The sequence below is a fragment of the Homo sapiens genome, chromosome 12 (genome assembly GCF_000001405.40).
Source record: "Homo sapiens chromosome 12, GRCh38.p14 Primary Assembly".
Classification (NCBI taxonomy): Eukaryota; Metazoa; Chordata; class Mammalia; order Primates; family Hominidae; genus Homo; species Homo sapiens.
The window spans coordinates 89,756,564-89,769,739 of NC_000012.12; the positions used below are offsets into that span (position 1 = coordinate 89,756,564).

A 13,176-nucleotide genomic window follows, 5' to 3' on the forward strand; every position below is an offset into this window, starting at 1 on the left:
TGGTGGGAAATGGTCAGATTTTTACATATTTTAAAGGTAGCGCCAACAGAATTTCCTAAAGGATTAGAGGTAGGGTGGAAAAAAGAAAAGTCAAGGATGACTCTAAAGTTTTTGACTTGAGCACCTGGACTGTTGGAATGACATCATGGGAGAGGCTTTGAGTGAGCAGTTTTTTTAGGGGGAAGATCAGGAGTTCAGTTTTGAACACATTGAGTAAACTCTGTTATTACAATTTGGTTTTTTAAGTTGCACAAGTGAGGGCCATGGAAAATATGAGTCAACGGTATAGTATCTTTCACATAGTATTGGCTCAGAGTAGGCGTGTCCTTTAGATGTGGAAGAAAAAAGAGGATGTAAGATTGTAAGAGCTCTGTTGCTGACTCATGTTTTTCATGACTGTCACTTGTGCAACTTAAGAAAATTAACTGTAATCATAACAGCTAACAATATTGAGCTGTTACTATGAACAAATAGATGACATGTTAACTTATGCTAATGTGTGTAATTGAAGGAAATGTTAAATTGCAGTTAGAGGGTAGTGAGATTCCCATCCAAGTTCATGGAATCTGTCTTCTGTCCTTGGACTCCAGATTGAGAACCCTGCAGTGATTTTTAGTTTACAAATACCCCTGGGCCTAGATTGTTATCCTCACAGCAGTCTTAAGGAATAGGTCAGTGAGGTTATCCCTTTCATACTCGGAAGTCGGGAGTGGCTTGCCCAAGATAAAAACATGAATTCAACTTCCAGGTTCTCTGACTTCAATGCCAACAATTTCTCAATATTCCCTGCCACCCAACTTTCACTGATCATTTAAAAACTTACAAAAATGTTAGAATAGTACAGTACAATGAACACAGCATACTTTTAACCTATTTCACTAACTGATTATTGTGCCACATTTGATTTATGTCCTTACAAACACACACATACACATACACACAAACACACACGGGAGTTTTTTAGTGACTTTTTAAAAAGTAAATTGCAGGAATTCTGTCACATCCAAGTATGTTTAACCTGCATCCCTTAAGAATAAGAGCATTCTAGAGAACCCATAAATAAAGTCACACACCTACAACCATCTGATCTTGGACAAAACTGTCCAAAATAAGCAATGAGGAAAGGACTTCCTATTCAATAAATGGTGCTGGGATAGCTAGCTAGCAATATGCAAAGGAATAAAACTGGATACCTACCTTTCACCATATACAAAAATTAATTCAAGGTTGATTAAAGCTTTAAATGTAAGACCTCAAACTATTAGAATCCTAGAAGAAAACATAGGAAACACTATTCTGGCCACTGACCTTGGGAAAAAATTTATGATTAAGCAATTGCAGCATAAACAAAAATGGACAAATGAGACCTAATTAAACTAAAGAGTTTCTGTACAGCAAAACAAAAACAAAATAAAAACTATAAACAGAGTAAACAGACAACTCACAGAATGAGAGAAAATATTTGCAAACTCTGCATCCAACAAAGGTCTAATATCTAGTATCTATAAGAAATTTAAATAACTCAGTAAGCCAAAAACAAATAACCACATTAAAAAGGGGTCAAAAGACAGAATGGACGCTTCCCAAAAGAAGACACACAATTGGTCAACAAACATGAAAAAGTGCTCCACATCATTAATCAGAAGAAATGTAAACCAAAACCACAATGAGATATCATCTCACACTAGTCAGAATGGCTATTATTAAAAAGTCAAAAAACAATAGATGCCAGTGAGGCTGCAGAGAAAAGAGAACACTTATACACTGTTGGTGGGAATGTAAATTAGTTCAGCCACTGTAGAAAGGAGTTTGGAGATTTCTCAAAGAACTTAAAAAAGAACTACCACTTGACCCAGCAATCCTATTACTGGGTATATATCCAAAAGAAAATAAATTGTTCTACCAAAAATACACATGGAGTTGTATGTTTATCATAGCACTATTTATAATAGCAAAGTCATAGAATCAACCTAGGTGCCCATCAGTGGTGGACTGGATAAAACACTATGTGTGTGTGTGTGTGTGTGTATATATATATGTATATATATGTATATATAAATACGTATATGTGTATATATATATGTATATATATGTATATATAAATACGTATATATGTATATATGTATATAGAAATACGTATGTATGTGTGTGTATATATGAATATGTGTGTGTGTGTGTATATATATATATATATATATTTTCAAGATGAAGCCTCGTACTGTTACCCGGGCTGGAGTGCAGTGGCACAATCTTGGCTCACTGCAACCTCTGCCTCCTGGGTTCAAGAGATTCTCCTGCCTCAGCCTCCCAAGTAGCTAGGATTACAGATGCCCGTCACCACACCCAGCTAATTTTTTGTATTTTTAGTAGAGATGGGATTTCACCATGTTGGCCAGGCTGGTCTCGAACTCCTTACGTCGTGATTTGCCCACCTTGGCTCCCAAAGTGCTGGGATTACAGGCATGAGCCACCACACCCAGCCAGAAAATATTACATATATATATGTACATATATATACACACACACACACATACACACACACGTATATATGTATATATGCCATATATGTATACCCACACATACCATGGAATACTATGCAACCACAAAAATAACTAAATCATGTCCTTTATAGCAATATGGATGCAGCTACAGGCCATTATCCTAAACAAATTCATGCAGAAACAGAAAACCATAAATGAGAAAGCCTATTCTCATTTATAAGTGCGAGCTAAACATTGGGTCCACATGGACATAAAGATGGCAACAATGGACACTGGGGACTACTCCGGGGGTGGAAGTTTGAAAACTTAACTACTTACTACCTGAGTGATGGGGTGAATTGTACCCCAAACCTCAGCATCACACAATTTACCCATGTAACAAACCTGCACACATACTCCCTGAATCTAAAATTAAAGTTGAAATTTGCTTACAAAATGATTAAGGATATTCTCCTAAAAAACACATCTTTTCGTACCTAAAAAAACACATCTTTTCGTACCTAAAAAAACTAATAATAATAATCCAAACCATCACCTAATATAACCTCTATATTTAAATTTCCATAACTGTCACCAAATGTCACTTATAGCTGTATTGTTTTTCTTTGTAGCAACCAGTCTAGGATTATGTATAGCATTTGAGTTTGAGATCTTTCATCTCTTTTTACAGAATAGTTTCCCACTCTTTTTTTTTTTTTTTTTTTGCTTTTCATGCTATTATTTTTTTCTGAAGAGTCTAGGTCACTTGTAATAAAAAGTGTTCCAAATTTTGTATTTGTTTAATTGTTTTCTCATAGTTAGATTTAGGTTAAAGTATTTCTGGCAGAAAGAGTACACAGGTGAATGACAGGTTGCTCCATTGTCGGTGATACTGAGTTTAGTCACTTGATTAGGATAGTTACTGCCAGACTTCTTCATTGTAAAGGTAAACTTTCTACTTTTTAATTGATAAGCTATCTGTGGAGCAATACTTTGAGTTCAAGGTTTTAGCATCCGTTGATGATCCTTGACTGAATTAATTACTACACTGGAGAGTACAGAATTCTCGTTTTCTCCCTATACTGCCTGTAGACTAGGAATCTTCTGCTCCTAAAGCTGTACTTCTAGTGTTCTGAAACCAGTGTGCTCCACTGTGGATACCACCATGCAGTGGTAGAAGGAGCAAGAGGTGAGTCATGGAATCAGATAGCAGATAAAATGGCAGATCAGGTACTAGAGATGCTGGGCATGGCATATTATTGAGAAGCAAAAGAGCTAGTTTGGTGATACTAAAGTTTCAATTCTGTATTTTTTGGGTGGTCACACTTTGTATTTTCCATTCGTTAGCTAACTTTCCTTTCAAAATAGTGTTTTTGGGGGGGAAGGGAAAATAATTAAACACATTTGATATAAATCTATTTTTAATCCCTTTATTATAGTTTTCTGTTCTCTTTGCATTTTTCCTCTTGTTTTCTCTTCTCTTCTTTTCTCTCTTTAGAGCCCTTTCTTCTTTTTAAAATATCTGCTCAAAATTTAACTATGAATTTTCTGTTTTCTCAATTTACCTCTTCCAATTGATCAGACTGTAATTTTTCTTCTAGTTGATTGGTGCTTTTCGCTCTTCTAGGTAGGATGAGGGCTTCAGAAATTATATGGCAACTTTTAATTCTCACATGTGATGCCCTAGGCTCAACTCTTCATGTAATAAAACACCTTATTTTAGAAAATATTCATTTAAAAAGATATTACAACATATTCTCAAACAAACTTTGATGAGTTTAGTTGTCTCAGCACTACTCTGGCTATTTTAAAGTACATTATTTTGTTAACCACACCCTTTCACCTTTTATAAAGCTGAAAAATAGGAAGCGTTTTTTTCTTTTCATTTTTTGTCTTGGTAGTTTGTAACCACATTTTTTGCACTGTGGTTTCATGTAAGCGGTTGTTGATAATCAACTGATGAGTGTTGTTATGTACAAAAGTCATGCTTTTGAGGCATGGAAGTGAGTGAAAGAACATTTGAGACAATGTATATTTAACTCTACAAATAACATGTTTCTATGGTATGGAAGACAAATGATTTTCTCTAATTTTTCACCTGTCCAACAAACAGCACTTTGGTTGTTCAAAGATTATTGTCATGATTCACTTTGTAGTTTAAAATAAAGATTAGATATTTTTTGTCTTAGTGCAATTTAATTACTTATTAAAAAAAATCCCAGGAGGCTTTAGCAATTCCCTCCTGAATAATTTACAACTCAAAATGATAATAGTAATACTATAGTATATGACATTGTTTTAAATTAAAAGATGTAAGTTAATCGATTGATATGATTTTAAATTCAATTCTCTGAACGAAAATTAAGAATTAAGCTCACACATAAGGATTGGAGAAGGCCTTCTGTGGTGGCAGTTGTTAATGTCTTTCAGTGCTTTGGAAGAAAATTGCGGAAGGAGACTTTGGCTATGCCTCAGGGATGTCCTTGACACTGCACCTGCCACGTGATTTTTCCAGACAAGGAAGGCTATTTTCCTCAAAATGTGAATTTAATCCCTATGTAAACCTTCTGAGGCTAGAAATTCAGTCACATTATATAGTATAAATGATATTTTAGAAGAATATGTTGTTTGAAGAAGATCAGTTTTGAGCCTGTTTAATATTAACAAAGAATTTCCTAAACTTAGTTGCCCCTGGAAATTATCCTTTGTACTGAAAAACCCCCAAAACACAAAACATGTTAAAACAAAACAAAACAAAACAGTGGCACTTGTGTTCTATAGAATTCACTTTGGAAATTGAAATTTAGTGACTTTATTTTGGAAGTTAAAGTCTATACCAGATAGTTTTTGAAAGCACCTTCAATCCTATAACAATAAAATTCCAGTATAACATGTTAGCAAGATCTTGTGTTCAACATTGTGTTATAATATACTATAGATACAATTTCTCTGTAAGAAAAAAAATGTTGTTTACTAACGTAAATGCAGTTTTAAGGGGAATTAAAATGAGTTTTCGTTACATGATATTTTATTGGATGACTAAAAATGAGCTCATTTTAAGTGGAAAGACTGGTTTTATGATTCAGATATTTTTATTATAATTTAAAAAAGCATTTTCTTATAGTTTCTTTGAAATTAAAAAACAAGAAAACGTCAAAACCTGCCATTGAAGATTTTCTGGTGTCCTAGTGGCACTTTTCAGATGAAACTTTGAGAAACATTATTGTGATTTTTTAAAATAATAAAATGCTAACATGGTGCTATTGTATAGTCAAAATGTATAAGCAGTTAAATGTTACAGAATAGTTGAAAATATGTAAGACATTTATTTCATTGTTCCTTAGAAATTTTTTTTCATCAACCCTTGTTTCCTGAGCTAAACCAACCGAGGGACAAAAATAAGATTACAATGACAGAAAGTAGGAATTGTCTGTTTTCCTATTCCTTCTTCTTAAGCAGTACAGTCCTCATATATTCCTCTTAAATAGTTCTGGACATCCCTAGAACGTGGTCTCACAAAGATCAGGAACTAGTCCTTTTCACTTCTATGTGGGTTGATTCATTTTCTTCCTTTTCAGGTCATTATGGTGATGACACCAAAAGTGGCAATTACAAAGCCACCAGTGTTAAAGCTACTAACGTCATCCTCTTTAGGTTGCTTGATGTTGTTGCTGTTGGTCAATGTGGATAAGTAACAGCTGCCTCATCCTGCTATTGCTAAAGTTACCTACAGTGACAATGAAGTTGATCAGCACTCTCAATGACCCACTGAGATTTTGGTGGATAAAGTTGCTTCTTCTTTTTCGATTTGACCCATCACAGTATACAGGACTCATGGGGCTTAGCTGGAGGAAAATTATTAGTGACCGCTATTATCTGATTGGCCTTTGATTTTCTTTGCCCTCAGGATGAATTCTTTTCCTGTAGACTTATCACCTTTCAAATAAATAATAGCCTAGAATTCCTGTCCTACAAGTTCTTCAAGTATGTCCAGACATAAATATTTGCCAAATATATTAAGAAATATCTAGCAAACTTGGGAGGACTACTTATATTCAGCACAGAACAATTGAAAAGGAGAAACTAACTGACTCTGTAATACCAATAAAGTAAGTTTGTGTCATTAGACTCCAAAATTATAATGGTCTTTATCTAATCTCCAAAATTCTTATTGACATTGTTTCCTTTATTCTTAACATTCCTAATGTCTCTGGATCACTTTTCATTTCTGTTGATTCGAATATTTATTTATTCAAAATCATCTTGGGTGTTATAGCTCTAGATTTGGTGGAATAAATTTCTGTAATAATTTTTAGCAATATGAAGCATTCCTTGAAATCCAGTGTTTCTATGGAACCTCTTAAGTGAATACAGTGGGGAACATATTTTTGAAGATTAATTGTAAGAGATGTCACAATTGTTAGTACTCTTGTTTAGAAGTTACAGAGTCCTGGCTGGGTGCAGTGGCTCATGCATGTATTCCCAGCACTTTGGGAGGCTGAGGCAGGTGGATTGCTTGAGCCCAGGCATTCACTACCAGCCTAAGCAACATGGTGAAACCCCATCTTGACCAAAAAAAAAAATGCAAAAATTAGCCAGGCATGGTGACATGCACCTGTAGTCCCAACTACTTGGGAGGCTGAGGTGTGAGGATCACCTGAGCCCAGGGAGGTTGAGGCTGTAGTGAGCTGTGATTGTGCCACTGCGTTACAGCCTGGGTGGCAGAGTAGGGCCCTGTCTCAAAACAAACAAACAAACAACCCCAAAACCAAAAACCAAAAAACCCTACACACACAAAGTTACAGAGCCCTATAAAATGAAAGGAAACCTTGGAAAGGGCAGGTGGGTTTGAGGCTGGGCCACAGACCTATTTGGAACCAGGAACTCAAATTATGCCATCATGAATGCATTGCTGCTGCTATTTCTCTGTGTGTTAGAAAACGTGTTTGCCAACAGCACTTGAATTTTGTGTATGACCACTTTAGCCATCCGGACTCTCTCAGTTCTATTTCTAAAAATCCCCAGAAAGGACTCTTATTATCCAGCTTGTGAAGCCTTAGATCTGTTACGGGTTGAATTACGTCCCCCTAAAAGATGCTAATGTTCTAACCCCAAGCACCTGTGAATGTGATCTTTCTTACAAATTGGGTCTTTGCCAGTGATCCCATTACTGAGTATATACCCAAAGGATTATAAATCATGCTAATATAAAGACACACGCACACATATGTTTATTGCGGCACTATTCACAATAGCAAAGACTTGGAACCAACCCAAAAGTCCACCAATGGTAGACTTGATTAAGAAAATGTGGCACATATACACCATGGAATACTATGCAGCCATAAAAAAGGATGAGTTCATGTCCTTTGCAGGGACATGGATGAAGCTGGCAACCATCATTCTCAGCAAACTATCACAAGGACAGAAAACCAAACACCGCATGTTCTCACTCATAGGTGGGAACTGAACAATGAGAACACTCGGACACAGGGCAGGGAACATCACACACCAGGGCCTTTCAGAGGATGGGGGGCTGGGGGAGGGATAGCATTAGGAGAAATTCCTAATGTAAATGACGAGTTGATGGGTGCAGCAAACCAACATGGCACATGTATACCTATGTAACAAACCTGCACGTTGTGCACATATACTTGAAGTATAATTTAAAAAGAAAAAAAAGAATTTGGGTCTTTGAGCTGAACAGTGAGAACACATGCACACAGGGAGGGGAACAACACACACTGGGGCCTGTCGTGGTGGGGAGCAGGTGGTGAGGGAGAGCATCAGGATAAATAGCTAATGCATGGGGGGCTTAATACCTAGGTGATGGGTTGATAGGTGCAGCAAACCACCATAGCACAAGTTTACCTATGTAACAAACCTGTACATCCTGCACATGTATCCCAGAAACATAAAATAATAAAATAAAATATCAAAAAAAAGAAATTGGGTCTTTGTAGATTATCAAGTTAAGATGGTTCATTAGAGTGGTTCCTAATCCAATAAAACTATGAGTTTGTAAAAAAGGACAATTTGGATACAGATATAGACAGGTATACAGGGAGAGCACCATGTGAACGTGAAGGTGGAGATTGGATGAAACTTCTACAAGGCAAAGAGTGCCGAAGTTGTCAGCAAACCACTAAAAACTAGGAGAGAGACATGAAACAGATTCTCCCTCAAAGCACTCAGAGGGAACTAACCTTGCTGACACCTTCCTTTAGCCGCTAGAAACTGTGAGACCCAAATTTCTATTTAAACCATTCAGCTTTTGAGACTTTGTTGCAATGACCCTAGCAAATGAATACAGAACCACTTAATAGTGGCTTGAGGGGTGGGATTATCAGTACCACGGGAACCACATAGATGGGTGAAAGTTGATTCTCAGAAATTGGTTCTGGGAAGACAATCTCATAGATTTTCACTACAGATCCCCCAAGACAATTTGTTTTGACTTGAAACTCAACTATGGACATTTTCTTTTGAATAAATTAGCTTGCTTAGGAATTGGGTGAATAATTAAAAATAATCTAAAAATTAATTTGTGGATATTTTCTGATTGGCATTATCTGTCTCAGCACACAAGTTGCCATAATGGTGGGGAAAGCAACAAGTAACAAGCCTGCTTTGCTCTAGAGCAGATTGATATATGTAGATAAGTGGAATTTATGTGAAAGAACCAATAATGTTTGAGAGTCTGCTGATAAAAGATGACATTGAGTAAAATGATGGATTCCTGTCTTAAAGGGTAACTTTTCTTATTATTTTCTTAGGCTGTATTGTAGTTGTTATTTATAATACGCTCCAGTTGAGGCATCATCTTGTAATTATTGCTCCCTCTACTCTTTCTCAACTTACTCTTCACTATGAGTGTTAGTATTCAACAGTTTAGACTTCATCAATAAGTAATTTCCATCAGAATGAGGAAAGACTGGTCCTTCTCTGTTTATGTTTTCTAATCTTGGAATGAGGTACCTTAGACTAAATCAGGGATTGGGTAAATTATAACCCTCAGGCCAAATTTAATCTACCACCTGGTTTTACAAAGGCAGTTTTATTATAGCACAGCCACACTCACTCATTTACTTACTTTCTGTGGTAGACTTCATGCTACAATGGCAGAGGTGAGCAGTTGCAACAGAGACTCCATGGCCCAAAAGCCTAAAATATTAACTATCTGGACTTTTACAAAAACAATTTTCCAACCTCTGACCTAGGTAGCTATGTAAAGGGAGAAAAAGAGGTTCTGTTTTTGTTTTTGTGCTTTTAATTAAGTCTACCAGGGACAGACTTATTAGCCTTTAGAGTAAAACGTAATCCCCACGTTACTAATAACATGAACTCCACATTTAAAAAATGGACTACATGGTTTAAAATGCTTTGTTTAAACTCATTTTTTCCTTATGTATAGTTGTTTGTAATTAGTAATTATTCAGCTCTTCTAGTTTACTTTTTCTTTTGCAAATAACTGGTTACAGAAGTAAAAAATAGAAGGGTTGTCCGAAGGCATCATGTGTTTTTGAGAGTAGTTGATCTAATGTTTCTTGAAGCCAGGAAGATATTTGTGCACTTTGTCTGTGGCTTCATTTCCTTACAGGAAATCACCTGGGGCAGATAACACCAAGCTCAGTGTATTCTTGTTGCTCAGTTGATTAGTTGATTGATTTGAAATAACAGAAATAATAAAGAAAGATATTTCTATTTGGGAAAATTTTTTTTTAAAGTTTATAATAATGTCACCCTAATAAGTTAGTTAATCTCTCTGAACTTCAGTGACCTTCTCTGTAAAGGTACTACCTATTACATAGTGTTATGAGGATTAAATGAAATGGTCCATTTAAAGAGTTTGATAGAGTATCTTGTGTATAATTAGAGAATAATACATTTAATTCTTGTTATTATTATTATTATTGCTATATTTTTAGCTACTGTTTTAGGCTGAATATTTGTCCTTTCCAAAATTCATGTGGAAATTTAATCCCCAATGTGGCAGTGCTGACAGGGGGCTTTTAAGAGGGAATTGGGTCACGAGGGCTTTGCCCTCATGAGTGCATTAGTCCATTAATGGATTAATGAATTAATAGGTTAATAGATTAATGAGCTCTCACAGGAATGAGACTGGTGGCTTTATAAAAAAAAAAAAAAAGGCAGAGCGATATGAGCTAGCATGCTCAGTTCCCTACCCATTTGATTCCCTGCACAGCCTTGGGACTCTTCAGAGAGTCCCTACCAGCAGGAAGGTTCTCACTAGATGTAGCATCTTGACATTGGGTTTCCCAGCTTCCATAACTGTAAGAAACAAATTCCTTTTCTTTAAAAATTACCCAGTTTCAGATATTCTGTTATAAGCAACAGAAAATGGACTCAGACACTTACCATATCCTAATTCCTGTGTTATATTTTAGCTACAGGGAATGTTAATAATTCATTTATTTATTGTATTTCTTACTGTATTCTTTTGGATTCTCCAGAGAAACAGAACCTCTCAGGTTCTTATATATTGATTATAAGAAATTCTGTGGAGGCTCAGAAGTCTCAAGATCTATAGTCAGCAAGCTGGACACCCAGGAGAACAGATGGCATAGTTCCAGTCCAGGTTGGAAGGTCTGAGAATCAGAAGAGCTGATGGCCTAAGTTCCAGTCTGAGTCCAAGTTCTAAGGCAGGAGAAGTCTGATATCCCAGCTCAATGATAGTCAGGAAGAGAGAGTGAAGTCTCCCTCACACTACCTTATTATTCTATTCAAACCATTCAAAGTTTCCATAAGACCCACCCACATTGGGAAGGTCAATCTGTTTTACTCAGTCTACTGATTCAAATGCTAATCTCACCCAGAAAATTGCTCATGAACACACCCAGAATAATGTTTAATGAAATATCTGGGCACCCTGTGACCCAGTCAAGGTAACACATAAAATTAACATCCCAAGTTCACCCCTTGTCAATTTGGCACCCATATGCACCTCCTTAAAGCATACTTCATATCCAAATAAAGAAAATAACAAGGTAATAATTCCATCTACCATGATAAAACTATCTTGCATACAATTGGCAATGCAGTAACCCCTTCCCCAGAAGAGGAGGTAAAGTCCTTGGGTGATGTTTACTTTTCTTCTTGATATCCCATAGCCTAAATACTATGATGTAAAATTAACAATACTTAAATACTGTGATATAAAGTCAATATATTTTATGTTACATGATAAATGAATAAGAGAGGGAAGAAAACAAAAGATATTTGCTTAATATATATTAATAAATAAATATGCTTATATAAATATGTATAGTTGTACACACAAACACACTAATAACAAAATGAGGGTGAAATATTTATGACAATTACAGTCCTCATTTCTGTTACTGGTCACATGGTTCTAGCTGGTACTTAGACCTCCATCCACTACCCATTCTGTATTCCCTTTGCCTTCAGCAAGCACTCAGCTGACTGTGGTTCTTTCAAATGACCCAAACCTGCATTCCTGAAGGGTCTGGGCCTTGGTGGTCCTGCCTGGATTGGGTTTTTCACTGACTTTAATTACAGGGTATGGTAATACTAAGAAAAGTCCTAAGGGATCTCCTATATTTCAGATGTACTCTTTCTTATCTCCATTGTAGAATAGCAACTTAATTTCTTCTTGGTAGTCAGGATCAATCACTCCAGCCAGCACAGTAACTCCCTTCTTTGGCCTGTTTTTTCAGAGGCATGGGGAGTTCAAAGTGGCCAGGGGGTTGTCTTAACTTCCAGTTCAATGGAATCATTGTTATGTCTCCTGGTGGACACATTCTTCCTGGTGGAGCTAAGACCTCTAGACCAGCAGAACATAAGGTTGTGGGAATAGGAAGCAAATATTTTGCTAGTAGGTGACTAGAGATAATAGTGAGTGGTGCCACTCTCATTTTCACCCCTTGATTACTAGACCTGTGAATTCTAGCTGTGGGTGTAGCAGCACTATAGATTGGATGCTGATTCAGAGCATATACAGCCTTCTGGAGAACACTGCCCCAGCACTGTAAGGTATTGCCACTTAGCTGGAACTGTAATTGAATCTTCAAAAGGTCATTATATTAACCTAGCTTATTCAGGACGTTGGGGAATATATTGTACAGAACCATCTGTAAACTAGGCCTGAGTCTTCTTTTCCTCTGATTATAATCTGATTGTAATATTATAATTGGTCAACTGATTATAGGGAACTCCTCATGAGGCCATAGGTGCAGGCTGGGAGACAGAAGGCAATGTAGCAATAGTAGGGACTGAGGGCATTTGAGTCACTTTTTCTTGTGACTCACTTGTGGCTTCAGGGCCTGCTTTGGCCCAATCACGTATTTACCATTGACATTTGATGATGAAATCCTGCTGTGCGCAACTAACTTTATGGCTTGGTGGGTCATATAACAACAAGTTCAGATCAGCAGCTCAGATCAAATGGTAACTTAGTGACTCATGGTTAAGTGTTCAGTCTCTATTAAGGCCCAGTAGTAGGCCAAGAGGTATTTCTCAAAAGGAGAGTAGTTATCTGAAGAGGATGGCAGGGCTTACTCCAAAATCTTAATGTCCTGTGCTGCGATTCACCTATAGGGGGCTATTAATGGCTCCAAACAGCATCCCTATCTGCCACTGACACTTCAGGTACCATTGGATCTGCTGAATCATATGGTCCAGGTGGCAAAGCAGCTTACACAGCAGTGTGGAC

General features: G+C 36.7%; 1 long non-coding RNA gene across 1 annotated transcript in view, besides 1 other annotated feature; it reads left to right on the top strand.

Moving 5' to 3' along the window:
- Positions 1–13,176, top strand: part of LOC107984543 (uncharacterized) — a 104,864-nt gene that overhangs the window by 44,327 nt on the left and 47,361 nt on the right. The window lies entirely within an intron of this gene.
- Positions 9,533–9,592: a silencer, noted in NCBI's record as "silent region_4699". NCBI's record gives its function as "represses an Ori minimal core promoter by ATAC-STARR-seq in GM12878 lymphoblastoid cells {active_cell/tissue: GM12878}" and the evidence as "EXISTENCE:reporter gene assay evidence [ECO:0000049][PMID:35858748]".